The sequence below is a fragment of the Homo sapiens genome, chromosome 1, assembly GCF_000001405.40.
Source record: "Homo sapiens chromosome 1, GRCh38.p14 Primary Assembly".
NCBI lineage: Eukaryota > Metazoa > Chordata > Mammalia > Primates > Hominidae > Homo > Homo sapiens.
The window spans coordinates 41931940-41956998 of NC_000001.11; the positions used below are offsets into that span (position 1 = coordinate 41931940).

A 25059-nucleotide genomic window follows, 5' to 3' on the forward strand; every position below is an offset into this window, starting at 1 on the left:
TTTTTTCTTGCCTTATTGTACTATAGGACTTTCCATATGAAGTCAGATAGGAGTCATAAGAGAGAACATCTTGCATTGTTTTTTATCTTAAGGGGAAAGTGTTTAGTTTTTCACCAGTAAGTGTGTTGCTAGCTATAGCCTTTTGTAGATGCCCTTTTTGAGGTTAAGAAAATTGCCTTCTATTCATAGTTTGCAGATAGTTTTAATCATGAATAGATGATTAATTTTTAAAGTGCTTTTTGTAAATCTATTGAAATAATCATCGTTTTTCTTTTCCTTGGTTCTGTAAATATATTTAATTTTAATTTCATTGGTTGATTTTTCCAGTGTTGAACTAGCCTTGCATTTTTTTGTTTTGTTTTTTTGTTTGTTTGTTTGTTTTTGGAAGGCTTTTAACTATAACTTCAATTTCCCTAGAAGATATGGGATTATTGAAGATATAATATTTCTTCTTGAATGAATTTTAGTATGTCTGTCCTTCGAGGAATTGATTCATTTCACCTAAGTTGTCAAATTTATGGGCACAGAGTTGTTTGTTGCACTACCTTATTATTCTTTTAATATCTGTAGGGTCAGCAGTGATGTCCCTTCTTTCATTTCTGATATTGATAATTTGTATCTTCTTTTTTCTTGGTCAGTCTGCCTAGAAGTTCACTAATTTTGCTGATCTTTCAAAGAACCAGCTTTTGGTTTGATTGATATATCCAAATTGCTTTTTTGTTTCAAATGTATTGATTTTTGCTCTTATTATGTTCTTCCTTCTGCTTGCACTAGTTTTAATTTGTTCTTCTTTATCTAGTTTTTTTCTTTTTAGGGTGGATGCTTACCTTACTGATTGAAGACCTTTCCTCTTTTGTAGTGTAAGCATTTAACTCTATAAATTTCCATCTATACACTACTTTAGCTTCATTTCCCAAATTGTGATATGTTGTAGTTCTTTTTCATTCAGTTCAAAACGCTTTTTTAATTGCCTTAAGACTTCCTCTGACATATGGTTTATTTAGATATGTGTTGTTTCATCTCCATACATTTGAAGATTTTCCACTTATATTTCTATTATTGATTTCTGGCTTAATTCCATTATAGTTCATGACCATGCTTTCTATGGTTTCTAGTCTTTTAAGGTTGTTAAGTTTGCTTTATGGCCCAGAACATAGTATCATTTGGAGAATGTTTCATGTGCACTTTAGAAAGAAGTGTTGTCATGTAAAGTATACTATAAATATCAACTGGGTCAAGTTGGTTGATAATGTTGCTCCAGTCATCTATATTTTTGATGATTTTCTTTCCATTTGTTCTATCATTTACTGAAAAAGGAGCACTGAAGTTTTCAACTGTAATTGTGAAACTATCTATTTCACTTTTTGATTCTATCAGCTTTTGCATCATGTATTTTGAAACTCTGTTGTTAGGTACGTACATGTTTAGCATTGTTATGTCTTCTTGGAAAATCAAGCCCTTTATAATTATTTGATGTTCCTTTTTATCCCAGATAATAATCATTGTTCTAAAAGTCTCACTTGTCTGATAGTAATATAAAGACTTCAGCTTTATTTTGATTAGTGTTTGCACAGCATATCTTTTTCTATTCTATTACTTTTAACCTATCTGTCTTTATAACTAAAGTGGGTTTCTTACAGAAAGTGTATAGCTGGTTCTTAATTTTTCATACAATCTGACAATCTCCATCTTTTAACTGGTATGTTTAGACCATTCACATTTAATGTGATTATAGATATGGTCAAATTAAAATCTATTTTGCTAGCTGTTTTTTTGTTCCTTCTGTTTTTTTCTTCTTTTCTTTTATTTTTCTGACTTCTCTCGTTAGCCTGGTTTGGGGGTGTGTGGAGGAAATGGTTTCTATTGTTCTGATTAAGCTGTAGTCTTAGGCAAGCACTATATCACTGAGTCCTGAAGCAGCAGCCTTCCCAGTGATCCCATCCCTCCCCTGCTTCACTTCTGAATCCAGAATGTATATCCATCCTTTCCCTAGGTGTTAAGATTTTTTTCCCTGTTCCCTTATCTCAGATGTAATGGGATTTCACCAGTATCCAAAGAGTGATAATGTTTGCTCCCTTCTACATACATGTCACACTAATTAAGGCTTTTGTTCATAGGGGAGGTAGGCAAGAAGGGTCCAGGTAGAATTTCTCACCCCTCTCACAGCAGTTTCTTTTCCTCTCCTCCAGCAATTCACTACAAGGGAGATTTTCTGTAGACTCTCCCAACCATTTTTGTGAACCTGTGATGGGGTTCATGGAGAAATGAGTCTAAGAAAGAAAGTGTGATCTCCTTTTATTTATTATCCCTAGGGCTTTGCCCGCTTCTACTAGAGTTCATTAAGCCAGATTCTGCATATTCAACAACCACCTTAGCTGAATTCATATAGGTATGTTTCTTGCTTAGGTAAGTCAGAGCTCATATCTCATTTCTCCCTGAAGATACCTATCTCTTCCTCGATTTTGGGCCTACTGGGTACCCAGCAACCTTAGGACTCCAGTGAGCTCAAGAAAAGTTGTGAACTTTCTATTCGTAAAGATTTTTTTTCACCATAAGTTTAGGAACAATCCTTCCCAGCTGTCTACATCTTTGAGAAGAAACTAGAAGTCTACCTTCTTATAGGTACTTTTGCATCTTTTGCAACAGCAAACAGAAGAAGGTACAGCAGTTGGTCAGGGTAATCACTATTCTCTTGGAAACTTGCTTAAAGAGCTTTAGGAATGACAGATGTTCCAAAAACACCTCTATCTGTTGTTTTTGAGAAATGTAAGATATACGGGGAAAATCCTATAGGAGTTAAGTAAAGTACAAATAATGTACCAATTTTTCAAAAAGTGGAGGGCAGAATCTGTATAAACTATCAGTCAGTTATAATTCAGGACAACTGTCTTGTTGAAAGCATCTACCAGCCTGCAATTGCCTGGCAAAGAATATGATGCCACATAGTAAACACCATGGATGGTGAAGAATAAAATAACTCTAGAGGCTTTCTAGTCCACTTAATTTCAGAATTGTTCATACATGTCACCATTTAGTGAGAAATATGACAGGCAACTAATTACTCAAAATTAGGCTAATGACAAAAACATTATACTTATGTTTTATTATTTATTCTAGTTTCCCCAAAGGTAAGTCTTGTCATTAATCATTAACTACTCCATATATTATTATTATTAAAAATGATAATGAAACAACTACAATTTAGTGACCACTCACTACTAGCCAAAGACTATGCTTAGCTAATAGCAAACATGTTCTCATTTCACCTTCACAACAACTCAGTGAGAGAAGTGGGACTCAGAGGGACTAAGAAACTCGTCAAATCCACAGAATTAACATATGTTAGAACTAGAATTAATTCCCAGGTCAGATTTTAAAGTCCTTACTTTTAACTTCTGAGTCAGACTATCCCAGATGATGTTAATTATTTCCTGTGGCCCATTGAGTATTTCCTGCTGTCATTTACAATGCTGGAAAAGGTCCATCCTTGCATAAGAACACAAAAGCATCAGAAATGCCTTATTAGCTGAGTCCAGTTGTCCAGCCACAAGGGCATTCAGTTTCAGAATGGCAACAAGGGACTATTTGTTGAGTGAACATGACAACTGACCTTTCTGAGATTGGTTTGCAAAGAGGGCATAACTGTCCTCCATGTTTTTTAAATGTCTCTCTCACTCTCTCTCTGTATACATATATATGTATGTAAATATGTGTGTTTGTGTAAAATATTCTTTTCTTTCCTGTAATCCTGTATTATCTAGCAATTTAGTCTTCTTGAAATTATATATATATTTATATTATATATTATATATATTTTATATATATAATATATATAAAATAAACTACAACTAACTCTAAGAATAAAGAGCCCTCTATAAGATTTCTACCATCTCTAATGAGGAAACATAATGTGATATTCTAAGATCATCTTAGATACCTGGAGCATAGCAACAGCACAGCAATGAGTTTCAAAGACAACAATGTGAACAGCTACCACTAAATCTTCAGTTAGGGGAGTCGAGCTATACTCAAGTATATTTCACCTAACCTAAACAAACCTGTGTAAAATAAGATAGCAGACTACATAGGAAAGACAGTAACAAGCAATGGCAATTGCCTGCAAGTAAAAAGGAAGAGTGCTACAAAGAACAAGGAGAAGTAGTCAATTCAGGGAAATTCAGTTCAAGGGTAAATGTAAATCACCCTCTGTAACCCCAAGATGGAGGGTCACCTGCCAGAATCTCTGAACTATAATACAAAGCAGTAACTAATGCTTCCCAACCTATTGCAAGTCAAGATGCACACAGAAAATCAATCTATTCAGATGACTCATGTGCGAGTCAAGATGCACACAGAAAATGAATCTATTCAGATGACTCAGCAAGAGGCAACTGATCCAGGGGCTTCTGTCACCCCTCAAGCCCGGCCTGGCTTCCCTGAGAGGTGGAGATGGAGGGATCATATTTCCACACACCTGTAATCCATTCACAACACACCACTGAGCTTTTGTCCACCAGGTGGAAAGCTCTGCAATAACTTGTGTCAACAAGAAGTAGTTCCATTATGTTTGGTCTACTCCACTTAAGAAGGTGGGAAAATATAAAATATCACAGAGTAATATTTCCATCAAAAGTAGTTAAATGTTAAAACATTTTGATGCTTAGAGGGCAAGCTTCAGTTAGAAAAATTAACTCTTGGAATGCCTCATTTCCTGATGATGCACAAATACAAAGTGTGACTACTCTGTCTTTTATTGGGGTTCAAGGTATATCTATCAAATCATTCTGTTATCTCAAGGTATTTGTGGAGTCTGAATTAACCATATCAGTACCCATGATGGTTTTAAAGTATTATTATACTGGATGACCATATGCTCTTATGATGGGACACACTGGAGGTAAAGGGATTTCTATTAATAATTACACTATAATCACTGGTATAAGCCAGGGCTGTCCTAGGAAAACCATTTGGTCACCCCAGTATTAGATCATTCTCCCTATTTGGTCCTAACCTTTTTACAACAAAGAAAGCTATGTTTATATTCTTCATTAAAATCATAAATAAAAATAAAACAGTGCATGCTAGTAGCAATAAACTAAAAACTGAAATTTATAAAACAGAAAATAAAAGTGGTACCATTTATAATACCTGGAATCATTCTTTCCAGAGATAACCTCCATTAACAGTCTTCTTTCCAGTCCTCTTTATGTGGGGAGAACTGATCCCCCAACATTATTATCCAAAGTCAGACAAATGGATACTGGGTGGCCAAAAATAATAAATATATATTCTATACACAGAGTTCACATGGAGCCTACCCCTCTCCTGCAGTCCTGGGGTACAGCATGCAATTTGGTTCTAAACTGCTGGGCACAACACTTTCTTCCTGGTCATGATGTTGGTTCAAGGTGGTCACAGGACTCTTTTAGAGCCAGTGAGACACAAAGAAACTTTTGCTCAGACTTCTAGGAAGACAATCTAGGTACTTATCAAATTGAAACTGAGAGGATCGAAGGCCTTGACCTGCACTATCCAAAATGGTAGCCACTAGCCATATGTAGCTATTGAACACTTGAAATGTGACCAGTACAGAAATGTGATGTAAGTACAAAAGGCACACTGCATCTCAAAGACTCAGAAGGAAAAAGGAATGTAAAATATCTCACCAATAATTTTTATTTTGATTACATGTTGAAGTGATGATGCATATGGCTCATATTTTCTCTCTAGTGGACAATGCCAGTCTAAAACATTGAACCATTGGTACAGCCAGGCCTGAGGGTATCCCTGGTCATGGACTTTTCAGATATGTCAACTAATAATATCTATTTTGCTTAAGAAAGTTCTGATTGGACATTCTAGCACTTGCAACTGAGAATCCTAACTGGTGCATTGTATATGTAGAGTCATGCCATACATTCAAGACTGAACAACCAATCATGAGCACTTGTTCATGCCAGCACCTTAAGAGTAGTGTGCCCAGATCTGCACAAAGTATTCTATATGTGGACAAATCAACCATTGTTTTTATCTGTTAACACCACTGTATGTGTCTGGGGTGTGTCACCAGCTTTCTTTAAGGTCTTCCAGTGCCAAAGTCTTCTTCTCCTGGCCTTTGCACATACTTTACTTTCTGCATGGAACACGCTTTCCTCTCTTTCACTTGCCTGGTTCCCTCTCATTACTCAGGACGCAATTTAAATGCCATCTCCTCAGAGCTGAGTTTCCTGACCACTCTATTTTGAGTAGGTCACCCCTGATATTGTCTCTCATAGCACCACATCTCCCCTATATGGCATGGACCAAAATATGTATTAACCTCTGTAGAAGGCTGTTTAACATCTACCTTCTCCTTCCCCACCATACCATACCGTGCATCAATGCAGAAGCCATGTATATGTGGTTCACCCATTTGTCCCCAGCACCTGGAACAGTAACTAACACATAGTAAATGCTCAATCAACATCTACTGAATGCCAGGAATGAGTGTTAATGAGTCCAGGAGAAGGAGGAAGGTCAGGGGAAGATGAAGTAATGGGGGAAGGGAACTAAGATAATTCAGTGTAACCAAACCACTGATGAATGTTGATTAATGCCATCTAGAACACTCAAAAAGAAAGTAAGGATGAGAACTGACAGAGGAAGAGCAAGTCCAGAATGGAAGGATTTGAGCAGTTAGTGGCTGCCTGGACCTTCCTCCAGGCATAAAAGCAAATGGTCAGAGATACAAATGATGAAGCCTGCAGTTCAAATGCATTTCTGAACTCCACACAATGAAAATTATGCTGAGATTTTGCTTTCTGTTAGTGACAATCTGGTTCTTAGTCTCATTCTCATAACCTAAATACAAAACTATGGGGGAATCTGAGTCCTACTCTAGGAATTTTCATCAGACTCTGCTCAAAGGCAAGATCACATTCTTTGACTTCTGCATTGTGGAGCTTCTCATGAGGCTGATTGAAATGCTGCTGTTCATATCAAAGCCAGCCTTTCTGGACTTCATCGAATATCTAGATCCCTTCTATTTTCCTCTTCACATTCTTGTTCTCACACATGATCTTTGCCACTACCCTGCTTGCTTACCTCAGCTTACCTTATACCTCGGAGGCAGCAGTAACGGTTTTTACTAAAACCCTTTAGGATTGATAGATGATAGCCTCTAATTATTTCTCTGGAGATAAGGCCTCTCTTTAAATGAGAATGGCTCTTCTTTTTGTTTTATTGTGATATATATTTTTAATTCATTTATTTTATAATGGAAAGTTGATCAATACAAAATAATTCATAAACCAAGCACCCAATTTAAGATCTAGCATTTTATTTTGGAAGCCCTCTGTGTGTCCCTCTTTGGTTTCATTTCATTTTTTAAAGAATGAAAACCACTTTGTTAGTGAACTCCAGAATTTGGGAATAAAGGGGTTAGAACCTTAGAATTTAAAGATGTGGTGCTGTCCACCAGGCAGGTGCTGACGAGTCTCCGGAAAGGTGGGAGAGCCACCGCAGTCTCTCAGAGGAAAGAAGAAAGTGCTTAGTCCTTTTTCTTTTTATTTTTCCTTCTCCCACTTTGATCTCTCTTCTTTCTTCCTTTTTAAGAATTACTACACCTCTTCTCTTTGCTGGTAAGACGAGGGAAGTCAACAGAGCTCCACGATTCTGTCTCCTTCTTTTTCTAACAGATGGTTTCCATTAGGGCTTACCAGGTATTTTCTCTGAACAGAATCAAACATGCATTGAAAAAGTAAACATCAGGATCATAGAACTAGCAGCCCTTTATTTATTACATAAATACAAAGATTTTATAGCTGGAAAAGAACTTAGAGATAACTAAATCCAATCTTCTTGTTTCAGACCTAAGAAAACCAAGACTCAGTACTTGCCTGAGTTATTAAGGTTATTAAGCTAAATATATGTCTTCCCTCTCCAAATCATTGTTTTTATTTCCCATTTTTCTTTTTTTCTTTTTCTTTATTTTTTATTTCCCATTTTTCAATTCTCATTATTAATATATTTTCATTATTGATAATTTGATCACATTATTGATTATTTTACTTTAGTCTGAGGCACCTAGCCTTAGGCTATTAGTATTTTCATTTAGCAATATTAATTACAAAATGATTTTTGAATGATACCTAAAAGATACCTCACATTAATGTAAAATACTTTGTTTTATTCTTAACAGCATTTATCTCAGAAGTCACTAAATATTCAATCATATTTTTCTGATACCCTGACATTCTCTGCCTCATATTTCTACTTCTAATGAAATATACAATTGAGCTGAATTTTAAAAAATATAGGTACTTCAGAATATTCCTAAATGATGAGTGAGTCATTAAGTTATTTGTCATATCAGAAATCTACAGATTGCTAACATTCAATTAGTTAACCAAAAACCCCAAATGCCCACTAGGTGCCCAACACTGTGCCAGGCATTTTTCTTATGCACCCTCTTTAAAGTGAAAATGTTTGAATTTCAGATTTTCAAGAATATTTGCATGTATATATGTATTTGCTTATTTATTTTATGCAATAAATTTTATTTCTGTTATTCTCAAGGCACTGTGCTAGGCACTGTTGGAGGTGAAATGAACTCTTAAGAGAACATACTATCAAGAAAGAGACAAAAATGTTTACATAAATATCTACAATATGTGGCTTAGGAGAGTGATCCCAAACACAAATGACCACAGAGGCCAGGTAGTCAATGTAAATGCAAGAAACACGTTGTGTATACGGCAACAGGGAATGGGAAAGTTATGGGGAGCTATAAAATGAATGTTGCCTCTAAAGAAAAAAATTGAGAATGAAAGGAGAGAAGATTTGAGAAGGTGGGGGAAGTGAGAGGGCACAAGTATAACAGGAGAGCATGAAGAGAGAGGATAAAGAGAGAAGCTGGTAAAGACAGAGGAGAGAGAGGGGGAGGACAGGCGGAAAGGGAAGGAGGGAGGGAGCGGGGGAGAGAGAGAGACAGAGAGAAAGAGAGAAAACATCAACACTAAAAGGTCAGGTAGAAGAGGAAAACCAGCAGAGTATGGTGTCCCAAAAACCACAAGAGGGAACTTTTCAAAATGGTCAAATGTGTCAAATTTTGCTGAAAGTATCTATTGGATTTGACATCACTGAGGTCACTGACAACCTTGACAAGAACAGTTTCCATGGTGTGGTGAGTTAGAGGCCAGGCTGAAACATGCTGAAAAGTGGATGGAAGGCAGACAGCAGGAAGGCAACCCTTTCAAGAAGTTTTACTGTGAAGGGAAGCAAAGGAATGGGGCAGTGGGTAGAGTAGGGCAAGCAGTCAAGGAAGAGGTGGTTTTTAAAAAGACAGTTGATGTCGTCAGGTTTGTCTACTAATGGGAATGATCCAGAAAAGCGGGAGCCATTGATGGCACTGGAAGACGATGGCCAAGGAGCCGATCCTAGAGAAAGGGAATAGAATCCAGGCACACATAGGAAGAGTGGTCTATGATCTAAGGAGGGACAGACACTTCTTCCATCACACTACAGAGAAGAAGGAAAGGGGGTGTAAATGCCTGCATGGTGATAAATTTGGTGGTGGAAGTATGAGGGAATTCCCATCTGATGGCTTCAATTTTCTACATAAAATAGGGAAGGACATGGCTTGAGAATAAGCAGGGAGGGTAAGTGAAATTTGCAGAAGGGGAAAAAGTGTGAAGTAATAACCTTGGGATTGTGAAAGCAGGCCCACTAGAGAAACACAGTAGAAAATACAGAGCACCCGGTTATGATCTGGAATTATAAATTTAAGGCACAACCAGACAACTTTTTATTTTGTCCAGCAAAGTCCAGCTGATCAAAAGGGCATGAAGAAGCCATGAATTGCCCACACATCTTGAGAAAACACCGTTTCTAAGCCATAGATCAGGGCTGGGGCCTGAACTTCTGCACTTCTAACAAGCTCACAGGTATCTCCCTGCTACTGGATCGCTGGATCACACTTTCAGTGGCAAGTGTAATCCGCCAATTTCCTTTGTCATTCTTTTCTCAAGTATTTCAGTAGGGGACACAGGAGATCTGTCACCTCTAAGTCTGAAAAAATAATATTAATAATAAAAATTAAAACCTCAAAAATAATAGAAAAAGGGAGGAAGGACATGGAGAAAGAAGATGATTTGGTTTATCCAACTGTGGCTGTATTAGAAATATATTTTCTTGCCCTTCTTCTTATCTACATTTCCAGCTTTGGCAGTCTCATGCAGTCTCACAACTTCAACCACCATCTTTATGTGGATGTACGATGTCTTTCTTAGATCCAAAGGCACAATTAACACATCCATATGGGTGTCCCATGAGCAACTCAAATGATAACTTGTCACCTATATTTGCTCTCCTTGATCTTTTCATCCTTTTACTCTTCTCATTCTCACTGGCCTCCACATTTAAAGTTGTTAAGGCCTACTGATTTATCCCTAAAATATCAGTAGTTTCTATGGATGCAAATTAGAACTACACTAACACATCATTTCCCCTTGTCAGATATGCAAGAATCCAAAAGTTTGATGACATACCCTACTGGCATGACTGTGAAGAGTCAGAGACTTGCATGCATTGTTAGCAAGAATGCAGAGTGGTATAACCCCTATGGAACTTTTTTGCAATGTATGGCCAAATTACCTAAGCCTTGATCCTTTAAGTTAGGAATCTATCCCAAAGACACACTAGCAATATGTAAAATGATACATGCACAAAGCTATTTGTCAAAACACAATTTGTAATAGTAAATAAATGAAAACAACCCCCAAATGTTCATGAATTAGGGACTAGTTGCATTCATAAAACTGAGAATTATATGAATAATTCTCAGACACAGAAAGGAGTGAGGAAAATCTCTATATATTGCTATGAAGGAATGTAAGTGAAAATACAAAATTCAGAAGAATGAACATAATATGCTACTTTTTAATATAAACAGGAAGATATATACATATTTGTTTATATTTTCTTTTTTTTTTCTTTTTTTGAGACGGAGTTTCGCTCTGTCGCCCAGGCTGGAGTGCAGTGGCATGAACTTGGCTCACTGCAAGCTCGGCCTCCCGGGTTCACACCATTCTCCTGCCTCAGCCTCCCAAGTAGCTGGGACTACAGGCGCCCGCCATCACGCCCAGCTAATTTTTTATTTTTTTTATTTTTTAGTAGAGACGGGTTTCACCATGTTAGCCAGGATGGTCTTGATCTCCTGACCTCGTGATCCACCTGCCTCGGCCTCCCAAAGTGCTGGGATTACAGGCATGAGCCACCACGCCCAGCCACATATTTGCTTATATTCTCAAAAAGAAGAAATGGAAAGATAAACCAAAAATTAATAAAATGGGTTACCTATAGGAGAAAGGAAAGAACAATGGGAAGAGGATTTAGGTGGAAGCTGGATCTCTTTGAATGTATCATATTTTATAGTTTTAAGTTCAAAATCATGTAAATGTTTTGCATAATTTTAAAAAATTAAATAGAAAAGAAACAAAGTAATCTATAAAAATCAAAACAATCTGAAATACTCAGTGGCTTCCCACTACCTACCTTGACTCCAAATTCCTGAGCCTGAATTCAATGATCTCTTTAGTCTGCCCAGCCAAATATTCCCACTTCACTTTCTGAGGCCCCCTTCTCCATCTTCTCTACACACAGACAAACTATTAACATTATCTGTGTGCCTAATTTATTTTGCCAGCTAGACCATACTTCTTTGAGAATGGAATCTAGTTCTGATTTATTTTTGAAACCTAAAATTCTCAGTGTCTAGAGTTATTACCAGAACATAAATTAGTACGGTTATGGCATCTGAAAGTTATTGGCAGGAAATTTTATGTTTATTCTGAAGAATTCAAGGAAGCCATAGCTTTTTGATAATATGTAAAATATCTGGCTAAAGAGTAACTTTCTAGTTACAAAACAGAAAAAATAATTGAAGCAATCTGATATCCATCAGCAGATGAATGGATAAATAAAATGTGGTATATCCATACAATGGAATATTATTCAGCCTTAAAAAGGAAGGAAATTCTGACACATGCTACTACACAGATGAACCTTAAAGACAGTGTGCTGAGTTAAATAAGTCAGTCACAAAATAACAAATACTGAATGATTCCACTTATATGAGGTACTTAGAGTAATAAAATTCATAGAGACAGAAAGTGGAATGATGGTTGCCAGGGACTGGGCAGGAGGTGAGAGGAAGTAGGAGTTATTGTTTGATAAGTCCAGTTTTAATTTTGTAAGATATAAAATGTTCTGGAGAAGGATAGTACCAGGTTGCACAATATGAAGGTGTTAAATGCCGCTGAACTGTATGCTTAACAATGGTTAAAATGGTAAATTTTGTTATGTGTATTTTGTCACAATTAAAAACAATTTTAACAAGGAAAACAAGACATTTGGGAATATCTTTTAATATTGGCTCCTTTTATTAATGTAACAAAGTTTTAACCAAGGCTATCCTCTCCAGAGCCATTAAGGATCACCTAGGGAAGAGACGGCTTTTTGCTTAGAACATGGTACCATGTTACCTACACTCTCTCTGAAACGAATTTGCATAAGAACTGTTGTTTATGGGAATGCATCTTGACGGGGCAGCTGGGTTGCTATGAAATACTCAGGAACCCAGCCCAGCTCTAGGACTCACCCCTGAGCACAAACGCAATGTTGGACACACTGGTAAAGGACCACTGGAATCCAGCAGCCCGGATCCCTTTCTTTGTGGTCAAGAAAGGCAGGAAAAGGGATGCAGGACTGCTACATCAGTGAGCATCACTAATCCGATAAGCAGAGGTCCATGGGTGGTGATGCACCCTGGAAAGGAAAAAGCATTAGGACCATAGAGGACGCTCTAGGACTAATGCTCATCGGAAAATGACTAGGGGTGCTGGCATCCCTGTGTTCTTTTTTCAGATGGGAAACATTCCCCCCAAGGCAAAAACACCCTGAAGATATATTCTGGAGAACTGGGGCCAATTTGACCCTCAGACGCTAAGAAAGAAACGATTTATATTCCTCTGCAGTACTGCCTGGCCACAATATCCTCTTCAAGGGGGAGAAACCTGACCTCCTGAGAGAAGTATAAATTATAACCCCATCTTACAGCTAGACCTCTTTTGTAGAAAAGAAGGTAAATGGAGTGAAGTGCTATATGTACAAACTTTCTTTTCATTAAGAGACAACTCACAATTATGTAAAAAGTGTGATTTATGCCCTACAGGAAGCCTTCAGAGTCTACCTCCCTACCTCAGCATCCCCCTGACTCCTTCCCCAACTAATAAGGACCCCGCCTTCAACCCAAACGGTACAAAAGGAGATAGACAAAGGGGTAAACAATGAACCAAAGAGTGCCAATAGTCTCCAATTATGCCCCCTCCAAGCTGTGGGAGGAGGAGAATTTGGCCCAGCAGAGTGCATGTACCTTTTTCTCTCTCAGACTTAAAGCAAATTAAAATAGACCTAGGTAAATTCTCAGATAACCCTGATGGCTATATTGATGTTTTACAAGGGTTAGGACAATCCTTTGATCTGACATGGAGAGATATAATGTTACTGCTAAATCAGACACTAACCTCAAATGAGAGAAGTGCCGCCATAACTGCAGGCCGAGAGTTTGGTGATCTCTGGTATCTCAGTCAGGTCAATGATAGGATGACAACAGAGGAAAGAGAACGATTCCCCTCAGGCCAGCGGGCAGTTCCCAGTGTAGACCCTCACTGGGACACAGAATCAGAACATGGAGATTGGTGCCGCAGACATTTGCTAACTTGCATGCTAGAAGGACTAAAGAAAACTAGGAAGAAGCCCATGAATTATTCAATGATGTCCACTATAATACATGGAAAGGAAGAAAATCCTACCGCCTTTCTGGAGAGACTAAGGGAGGCATTGAGGAAGCATAGCTCTCTGTCACCTGACTCTACTGAAGGCCAACTAATCTTAAAGGATAAGTTTATCACTCAGTCAGCTGCAGACATTAGAAAAAAACTTCAAAAGTCTGCCTTAGGCCCAGAGCAAAACTTAGAAACCCTACTGAACTTGGCAACCTCAGATTTTTACAATAGAGGTCAGGAGAAGCAGGCGGAACGGGACAAACGGGATTAAAAAAAGGCCACCGCTTTAGTCATGGCCCTCAGGCAAGTGGACTTTGGAGGCTCTGGAAACGGGAAAAGCTGGGCAAATTGAATGCCTAATAGGGCTTGCTTCCAGTGCAGTCTACAAGGACGCTTTAGAAAAGATTGTCCAAGTAGAAATAAGCCGCCCCTCGTCCATGCCCCTTATGTCAAGGGAATCACTGGAAGGCCTACTGCCCCAGGGGACGAAGGTCCTCTGAGTCAGAAGCCACTAACCTGATGATCCAGCAGCAGGACTGAGGGTGCCCGGGGCAAGTGCCAGCCCATGCCATCACCCTCAGAGCCCCGGGTATGTTTGACCATTGAGAGCCAGGAAGTTAACTGTCTCCTGGACACTGGCGCAGCCTTCTCAGTCTTACTTTCCTGTCCCAGACAATTGTCCTCCAGATCTGTCACTATCCGAGGGGGTCCTAGGACAGCCAGTCACTACATACTTCTCTCAGCCACTAAGTTGTGACTGGGGAACTTTACTCTTTTCACATGCTTTTCTAATTATGCCTGAAAGCCCCACTCGCTTGTTAGGGAGAGACATTCTAGCAAAAGCAGGGGCCATTATACACCTGAACATAGGAAAAGGAACACCCATTTGCTGTCCCCTGCTTGAGGAAGGAATTAATCCTGAAGTCTGGGCAATAGAAGGACAATATGGACAAGCAAAGAATGCCCGTCCTGTTCAAGTTAAACTAAAGGATTCTGCCTCCTTTCCCTACCAAAGGAAGTACCCTCTTAGACCCGAGGCCCTACAAGGACTCAAAAGATTGTTAAGGACCTAAAAGCCCAAGGCCTAGTAAAACCATGCAGTAGCCCCTGCAATACTCCAATTTTAGGAGTACAGAAACCCAACGGACAGTGGAGGCTAGTACAAGATCTCAGGATTATCAATGAGGCCGTTGTTCCTCTATACCCAGCTGTACCTAACCCTTATACTGTGCTTTCCCAAATACCAGAGGAAACAGAGTGGTTTACAGTCCTGGACTTTAAAGATGCCTTTTTCTGCATCCCTGTACTTCTTGTTTGCCTTTGAAGATCCTTCAAACCCAACATCTCAACTCACCTGGATTGTTTTACCCCAAGGGTTCAGGGATAGACCCCATCTATTTGGCCAGGAATTAGCCCAAGACTTGAGCCAGTTCTCATACCTGGACACTCTTGTCCTTCGGTATGTGGATGATTTACTTTTAGCCACCCGTTCAGAAACCTTGTGCCATCAAGCCACCCAAGCGCTCTTTAATTTCCTCGCCACCTGTGGCTACAAGGTTTCCAAACCAAAGGCTCAGCTCTGCTCACAACAGGTTAAATACTTCGGGCTAAAATTATCCAAAGACACCAGGGCCCTCAGTGAGGACTGTATCCAGCCCATACTGGCTTATCCTCATCCCAAAACCCTAAAGCAACTAAGAGCATTCCTTGGCATAACAGGCTTCTGCCGAATATGGATTCCCAGGTATGGCAAAATAGCCAGGCCATTACATACACTAATTAAGGAAACTCAGAAAGCCAATACCCATTTAGTAAGATGAACACTTGAAGCAGAAGTGGCTTTCTAGGTCCTAAAGAAGGCCCTAACCCAAGCCCCAGTGTTAAGCTTGCTAATGGGGCAAGACTTTTCTTTATATGTCACAGGAAAAACAGAAATAGCTCTAGGAGTCCTTACACAGGTCCGAGGGACGAGCTTGCAACCCATGGCATACCTGAGTAAGGAAACTGATGTAGTGGCAAAGGGTTGGCCTCATTGTTTATGGGTAGTGATGGCAGTAGCAGTCTTAGTATCTGAAGCAGTTAAAATAATACAGGGAAGAGATCTTACTGTGTGGACATCTCATGATGTGAATGGCATACTCACTGCTAAAGAAGACTTGTGGCTGTCAGACAACTGTTTGCTTAAATATCAGGCTCTATTACTTGAAAGGCCAGTGCCGCGACTGCGCACTTGTGCAACTCTTAACCCAGCCACATTTCTTCCAGACAATGAAGAAAGGAAAGAACATAACTGTCCACAAGTAATTGCTCAAACCTATGCTGATTGAGGGGACTTTTTAGAGGTCTCCTTGACTGATCCCAACCTCAACTTGTATACTGATGGAAGTTCCTTCGTAGAAAAAGGACTTCGAAAAGCAGGGTATGCAGTGGTCAGTGATAATGGAATACTTGAAAGTAATCTCCTCACTCCAGGAACTAGTGCTCAGCTGGCAGAACTAATAGCCCTCACTCGGGCACTAGAATTAGGAGAAGGAAAAAGGGTAAATATATATACAGACTGTAAGTATGCTCACCTAGTCCTCCATGCCCACGCAGCAATATGGAGAGAAAGGGAATTCCTACCTTCCGAGGGAACACCTATCAAACATCAGGAAGCCATTAGGAGATTATTGTCAGCTGTACAGAAACCTAAAGAGGTGGCAGTCTTACACTGCCAGAGTCATCAGAAAGAAAAGGAAAGGGAAATAGAAAGGAACTGCCAAGCGGATATTGAAGCCAAAGAGCCGCAAGGCAGGACCCTCCATTAGAAATGCTTATAGAAGGACCCCTAGTATGGGGTAATCCCCTCCAGGAAACCAAGTCCCAGTACTCAGAAGAAGAAATGGAATGGAGAACCTCACGAGGACATAGTTTCCTCCCCTCAGAATGGCTAACCACCAAAGAAGGAAAAATACTTTTGCCAGCAGCTAACCAGTGGAAATTACTTAAAACCCTTCACCAAACCTTTCCCTTAGGCATTGATAGCACCCATCAGATGGCCAAATCATTATTTACTGGACCAGGCCTTTTCAAAACTATCAAGCAGATAGTCAGGGCCTGTAAAGTGTGCCAAAAAACCCCCTGCACTTCAGGCCATACATTTCAATCCCTGTACCTGAACAATGGAACAACTTCAGCCCAGAAATAAACACCACTTCTGTTTTAGTAGGACCTCTTGTTTCCAATCTGGAAATAACCCATACCTCAAACCTCACCTGTGTAAAATTTAGCAATACTATAGACACAACCAACTCCTAATGCATCAGGTGGGTAACTCCTCCCACACAAATAGTCTGTCTACCCACAGGAATATTTTTTGTCTGTGACCTCAGCCTATCGTTGTTTGAATGGCTCTTCAGAATCTATGTGCTTCCTCTCATTCTTAGTGCCCCCTATGACCATCTACACTGAGCAAGATTTATACAATTATGTTGTACCTAAGCCCCGAAACAAAAGAGTACCCATTCTTCCTTTTGTTATCGGAGCAGGAGTGCTAGGCGGACTAGGTACTCGCATTGGCGGTATCACAACCCCTACTCAGTTCTACAAACTATTTCAAGAACTAAATGGTGACATGGAATGGGTCACTGACTTCCTGGTCACCTTGCAAGACCAACTTAACTCCCTAGCAACAGTAGTCCTTCAAAATCGAAGAGCTTTAGACTTTAGGCTAATCGCCAAAAGAGGGGGAACCTGTTTATTTTTAGGGGAAGAATGCTGTTATTATGTTAATCAATCCAGAATCGTCACCGAGAAAGTTAAAGAAATTCGAGATTGCATACAACATAGAGCAGAGGAGCTTCAAAACACTGGACCCTGGGGCCTCCTCAGCCAATGGATGCCCTGGATTCTCCCCTTCTTAGGACCTCTAGCAGCTATAATATTGTTACTCCTCTTTGGACCCTGTATCTTTAACCTCCTTGTTAAGCTTGTCTCTTCCAGAATCGAAGCTGTGAAGCTACAAATCATTCTTCAAATGGAGCCCCAGAGGCAGTCCATAACTAAAATCTACCGTGGATCCCTGGACCAGCCTGCTAGCCCATGCTCTGATGTTGATGACATTGAAGGCACCCCTCCTGAGGAAATCTCAACTGCATGACCCCTACTATGCCCCAGTTCAGCAGGAAGCAGTTAGAGCGGTCATCGGCCAACCTCTCAACAGGGTTTTCCTGTTGAGAGAGGGTACTGAGAGACAGGACTACCTGGATTTCCTAGGCTGACTAAGAATCCCTAAGCCTAGCTAGGAAGGTGACCGCATCCACCTTTAAACACGGGGCTTGCAACTTAGCTCACACCCGACCAATCAGGTAGTAAAGAGAGCTCACTAAAATGCTAATTAGGCAAAAACAGGAGGTAAAGAAAGCTAGTCATCTATCGTCTGAGAGCATAATGGAAGGGACAATGATCAGGATATAAACCCAGGCATTCCAGCCGGCAATGGCTACCCTCTTTGGGTCCCCTCCCTTTGTATGGGAGTTCTGTTTTCATTCTATTAAATCTTGCAACTGCAAAACAAAACAAAACAAAACAAACAAAAAAAAACGTGGTACCATGCTCTCCTCCCCCACCAGCCCCAAGAGTATTTCCAACAGAAACTTTCTTCCCTGGGAACACTTTGCACCTTGGGCTTTGTATAACCAGGAGTAACACATTGGTGATTAACTTAAGAGGTGTTTTAAGATTCTGATGCTTGTTTCTAATCAAAGCTTTGTATTGGCATGGATCCATAATAATTGCATTTGTGCTTCTGAGTAGAATGCTCTATCCCATCCATGCCTTCCCCTCTATTCTCACAGGAAAAATGACTATGCTGTGAGCTACTGCCACCTGGGAAGCATTTACTTCTGACTTTGTTTTAAAACTTTGTATTTTGTACTCCATTAATATAACATGTAAATAATAGGGGACACTATGTGAAGAGGGCAAAGAGATATGTGGGAACTCTCTCTGTACTTTCAGATCAATATTTTGTAAACCTCATACTGCCCTAAAAACTTAAAGACTATTGATTTAAAAAATAAAACTTTGCATCTGAAATTCTTTGAGTTGCTGTTACAGAAAATGGTCTTATTGGTCCATATAAGTAAAAATGATACTTTGTTAACAGGGAGATATGTTCTTGTTTAAACATGTAATATATCTGGCCAGAAACTGAAGGCATATTGAGCTAGTCAGTCACCATTCTAACCACATTTGAACTTTAAGGAAGAAAACTAATTAGAATGCAATCCCCTAGTTTCTGCTCCTGACTGTGCTGGAAATCCCCACGTTTCTAACACATAGCTTTGCTTCTGTATTGCCACTTAGAGAGTATGGTGAGACACATTAAAGTCTTTGACCATAAAAGCAATTAAATACTGAAAGAAGAAGGGGGCATTTGAAATGCCCTTCTAAGAATTATTTAAAACATGGAAAACAAGCTTACACTTCTAGCTATGATGGAGTTGCATCTATCCAACTCATGGTGATAGAGTTCATAACATAATGTTTAGGGGAAAAGGCCAAAAAGATAGCACACTGTATGATCCCATTTATATAAAGATTAAAACGAGACAAAATTAGAGTATGGCAATATAAGCCTAAATAGTGTTTATGTTTGATGGGTGGCAGACAATGACTGAGAGAGGGCACAAATAAGATTTCTGGTGTGCTGAAATTGGGAGTGATCTCTTCTTGTCTGGGTGGAGATGAGAGAACAGTGTTCATTTTATGTAAATTCTACAAACTGTAAACTTACTATATGTGCACTTGGTGTGTGTATTAGTCTGTTCTCATGCTGCTATGAAGAAATGTCTGAGACTGGGTAATTTATCAAGAAAAGAGTTTCAATTGACTCGCAGTTCCACGTGGCTGGGGAGGCCTCAGGAAACGTACAATCATGGTGGAAGGCACCTCTTCACAGAGCAGCAGGGGACAGAATGAGTGCCAGTAGGGGAAATACCAGATGCTTATAAAACCATCAGATCTCATGAGAACTCACTCACTACCATGAGAAAAGCATGGGGGAAACTGCCCCCATGATTCAATTACCTCCCACTTGGTCCCTCCCACAACATGTGGGGATTGTGGGGAGTACAATTCAAGATGAGATTTGGGTGGGGACACAGCCAAACCATATCAGTGTGCATACAATATATTTAAATAGTAAGTAACCAAAACATGTAGTTAGAAATAAATTACGTGAACAACTAGACATTCCCTGACAATGGAGGTGGCAGAAACTGGACTGGAAGATTCTGAAGGCAGCTTTCAACTGCATTTCACTTGCCCTTCCATAAAGCAGCAGCTCTCCTTCAGGGCTATCTTCCCTGAAGATACATTCTCTCTAGCTCATCTGTCTTCTATATCCAATTTGGATTTTGCAACAGAGAGTTAAATTTATTTTATCAATTTAACCCCTAAGTCAACATATTCAAAATCAAAATCTTCATCATCTCTTGCTTCTCACTTCATGAATTTCCTCCCATTCTCTATCACAGATAAGAGGGTGATCAACTTCCTCAATGTTTAATGTAGAAATCTCATCCTCGCTGCACCATTATGTGATTCCTAGTTGTCTCTCCAAAATCTTCCTCAAATTTATGCCCTCTTCTCCAACCACATTGCTTTCATTTTCTTTTGTTCATTCATTCATTCATTCATTCATTCATTGTGAAGTGTGTAGTGCCTGCGAGGCCCTTCAAGTGGGGTTAAGGATCAGCAGAAGCAAGTTACTTCTGGTCCCTGATAACCAAAGCCCTTGACTTTCACCAAAGCCTTGACATTCCCAGTTGCTTTCTATGTAGTCTCATGAAAGTTCCCTTCCCACTTCTCTCCTCCCTCTCCACTGCCACCAATTCACAACTCTCTTTTCCAGCACATATACCCTTTACATGTGTATATGCACATGCATGTAAAGGACATGCACATTATTTAAATAAGCAAGACAAGTTCATTAAAGATAATTTGGAAAATATATAAAGTAACAAAAGGGAAAAAATCCTATTATTCATATTACTGACACCCAAAGATCGTGTGATATAAAATATCATTTATTTTTAAATGATGATCATCTTTTTTAGTATACAAGTCAAATCATTCCCCTCTTTTCTTAGAAGGTGTCAAGTCATTCCACTGCCTATAGGACAAAAGTCCTTCTCATGAGCAATCGACTCAAAGCCCTTTGCAGTCTAGGCACAGCTGTCCAGCTGTTTTTCTGGTGTCTTCTCTAGTCCCCTGCCTGTCCCCAACTTTGACACATGGGTCCGTGACACTGCTCCTGGTTATGGGCTGTGGATACTGGATCTTCTGTGTTCCTGTCTCTGCTCACATTGTTCCCTAGGCCTGCAATGATCTTTCCTGACTTCCTCAGCCTTGAAAACTCCTATTCACTTTTCAAGACTAGGTTCAAATTTCACTTCTGCTGGATCCCACTTGTGTGACACTTGTCACTGTGTGCTGTGATTATGAGGGAGGCAGCGGCAGAGCTGTTAATAATACTGACTCTGGAGTCAGACTGCCTGGGTTCAAGTCAGATCTGTGGCCTGCTAGCTGTGTGACCTTGGGCCAATTACTTAATCTGTCTTTGCCTCAGCCTCATGTATAAGAGGATAAAATGCTAAAACTCTTCTCAGAGTGTTTCTATGAGGATTAAATGAGATGATCTGGTTAAAGGGTAACTTAGCACAATGCCAGGTACATAATGAGTCCTCAGAACATGTTACTTCTTGTAATTGTCAGATGTCTGCCTCTTCCCTCCTAGACTGTGCACATCCCATAAGAAAGATTTCTTACTTGAATTTGTAGCCCCACCCCATGCTCAGTTTGGAGTAAGTGCTTTATAAATGTCTGAGAAATGAATGAATGAGTACATGAATGAATGAGTGAATGATCTGCCAAATCTTCCCGACATACTCTCTTGCTCTACATACTTTTATTGTTAAAAGAAACCAAGGAGGAAAATTGGGATAATGAGAGGAAGAAGGAAGGAGATGCAAGAGAGGGAGAAGGAGAAGAAGAGGACAAAGAAGAGGAATACCAATGAATTGCCACTAATAATAATGGTATTTGACTTTTGTTTGCACAAAAAAACAGGCATCAATCACAGTACCCAAGGCTGCAGCAGCCCTTTTTTCTGCTAACTCTTCAGAACCCAGAACATATTGGCCCTTACACTTAGTGCAAAGCTCAGTATTCCATTCTGGCCTTTGGGGAAACTGAGTTGTGTAACTGGTTCTCTACCCAGAGAGAAGACCCTCAGATGGCAGACCACCCGAGGTGACACATCTAAAAGGACTGCGCAGGGCCCACCCGCAAGGTTCCAGGACATGGAATAGAAGAGTGTGCACCAGGCATCCTATGCAGGGCATCAGCTCATCCTCAAATTCCCCAGGACAGATGCAGCGCTGGATGTGTGGAATATTTAAAGGTTCCCTTGCAGCTGAAGTACCTTGGCAAAACCTGTTTTTACTGACTCCAGATATACTGGCTTCTACTTCTGTTCCAGAGTCAGTGATAAACCCCCAAGAACTCATTAGTACTTTCTAGCATGCATAAAAGGACAGTAAGCCTTTGTTTTGCTGATTAGGGAGGCCACATACATTTTTAAAAACGGATTATTAAGAAATAAATGCCAACCTTTGCAGAAAAAAACACATTTCTCTCTGTCTCTCATTGAAAACCAAGGAGGCCTTCAGAGACTTCACCTTGGCACAGGCCAGGTGGTTTCACCCCACCCTGCGGGGTCTGGCTCCAACCTGGCAGCTGTTTGCAAGGACAGGCCAGTCGTCATCAAGGCCCTATGTCTCTGAGCAGGGGGTCATGGCCATTGTGAGTCAAAACCCACACAGAGAACACTGGCCTTTCTGATGCTGGCTGCACCACTGCCTTGCAGCTTTCTGCAGAGCCATTAAACCATGAACTTGGAAGTCAGTCAGGCCAGGGTCTGAACTCCAGCTCCTCTGCCTACAGGCTGTGGCCCAGGGCAGGTTGCTTCATCGCTCTTAGTCCGAGTCTCCTCATTTGTGAAATAGGGGTAATAATAGTATCTATCTATCTCTCAGCGTTGTGGTCAGGATTAAAGATAATGCACAGAAATGGTTCCACAAGCTTGGGACGTGAGTCACACTCGGTAAATGATATCCATTGTTATTATTCTTTAGGAACCATTTTCTCAGCTTCCAGGTTTTTTTTTTTTTTCTCTAGTGTTTCCACTGAGAAGATCAAAATTGAGGCTGGGGAGGCTGAATTGAAAATTATAACATCTAATTGTTAGGAGCATTTTCAATGTTCCATGCACTCTGTTGGTAGTATTTACATGTTTTATCTCAGTTAATCTTCACAACAACATATCAGCCAGGTACTACAATGAAACCCATTTTACAACAGGGAGATCCAAGGGTGAAAGAAATAAAGTAACTTATCTTGGGAAAGAGGTAAGGAAGGAAAGAAATTGCTTGGTAGACTGGGTAGGGGTGGGGTGGGAGCCGTTTTAGAAAAATTGTGATGGAAAAAAGAAAGGGAATATTAAGAAGTGTCTCTGTGGGTTATGAATTGGTTCCCTCCTATGTTCTTTCAGAGGCACAAGTGAAGACTGGAATTCTTTTTAATTAGTAGCTCCATCATTGTTATGAGACCACCTAAGTTTAGAGGGCATAGTTAAATAGGAGGAAAGTACTTTCACCAGAATTGCAAACTGTGTCCTACAACAGCACACAAAAAAAAACCCCTCATATTAAAACCAACCACAACAATGACCTCACCGTATTAAGTCCTGTGATGCATCCTGCCATGCAGGGCACATCCTGAAAGGGGAGAAGAGGCAACTAAGGCCTCCAGCTACTCAGCTACACTTAACCACAGTAATCCACCCCTAAGTTTCTCCTGGGGCACAGTTCCTTTTTGTTCTCTCATTTTTGTCCTTTCTTTAATAATGAACGTGTGACTCAGAGGTTTAATGAGTTACCCGGAGAAGTTAACCAGAAGGGAAGCCCATTGAGCAGAGGCATAATTAAAATTGTGAATGGACAGAGGAATACAATCATTGTGGGAGACAGGGAGCACAGGAATGACTCACGGGTTAGGTTGCTTAGAAAAGGGCCTCCGGGACTTAAGTTATTTCTGGGGAAGATCTGGAAATTGAAGGAAAAATCTGGAACTCTTCTACAGTCAAAAGATAGAGAGGCGAGCTGGGACCTCTCCTTTCACTCCTGAATGATTTAGGCTTGTAGCCGGGACTCACTTCCAGCGGAAGGTGAAGAACAGTGAAGGCTGAATTCCCCAGGGAGTCATTACCTCCTCTGGTGCTAACACCACAAGTGTCTAATGTCAACTACTTCTTGGTTTGGACGTTTCTTATAGCAAATTATAACAGTCAGGAGAAGGGAAAAAGCAACGACAGCATCATACTGGATTTTCACTCTTTAGCCCAAACTCAGAAATATTTTGCATCTGTTGAGGCCTGACAGGCAGAGAAACTAAGGAACATAAGCACACACTGGAGATGGGGCTGTTGTAGTTAACAGAAAGTCTGCATGCAAACTTGAGGCCCATTATCTGTTTCGTGTATGAAACGGTCCAGGGTGCTGTGAGTTCTTAGGAGAAATGGAGGCTGATCCTAAGCAAGAAAAACAATACTCCCTAGGTCAGGATCTCTGTAGAGCACCAGCCACAGAAAGCACTTTCCACCTAGGAATCTATTCCAAGAATTTCTGTAACTAAAGCCAGTTCAGATCAGCCATGCTAATGGAGCAGCAGTACAACTTCATCCCAAATATCACATGGTCTAAGTATTAGGATTTATTGTCTTATTTCCATGCTTGTGTTGATGCTTGAAGAGGGCCAAGATTACCCTCTCTTTCCTCCTGGAATACAGAGGCAATCACTTCAGCAATGTGGAGAAGCAGCGATGAAAATAAAAAGAGACAGGAGCCCAAGTTAGGTATGAAGTTTGAAATCCATTTTTAATTTTGTTTGAATATAAGCTTATATGGTTTTTGAACAGCGCTGGGAGCAAATTATTGAAGCTACAATATGAACCATGGAGGAGAAGGAGTTGGAAGGTGCTCTCACTTTCAGATCTTGCTCATTTAAATAAATCCTCCAAACTCCTTTGTCTATGCTCAGAGTGGACAAGAAGTGAATTGCTTGGGTGGTCTAAAAGACCTTAGGATGGGTGAGAAGGAGCCTAAAATTTTCTTTTAGTCAAAACTATATGTTT

At 40.1% G+C, this 25059-nt stretch overlaps 1 protein-coding gene across 1 annotated transcript in view; it reads right to left on the reverse strand.

The window, feature by feature from the left end:
* The window catches only part of HIVEP3 (HIVEP zinc finger 3), a 529570-nt gene that overhangs the window by 425575 nt on the left and 78936 nt on the right, over positions 1–25059 (reverse strand). The window lies entirely within an intron of this gene.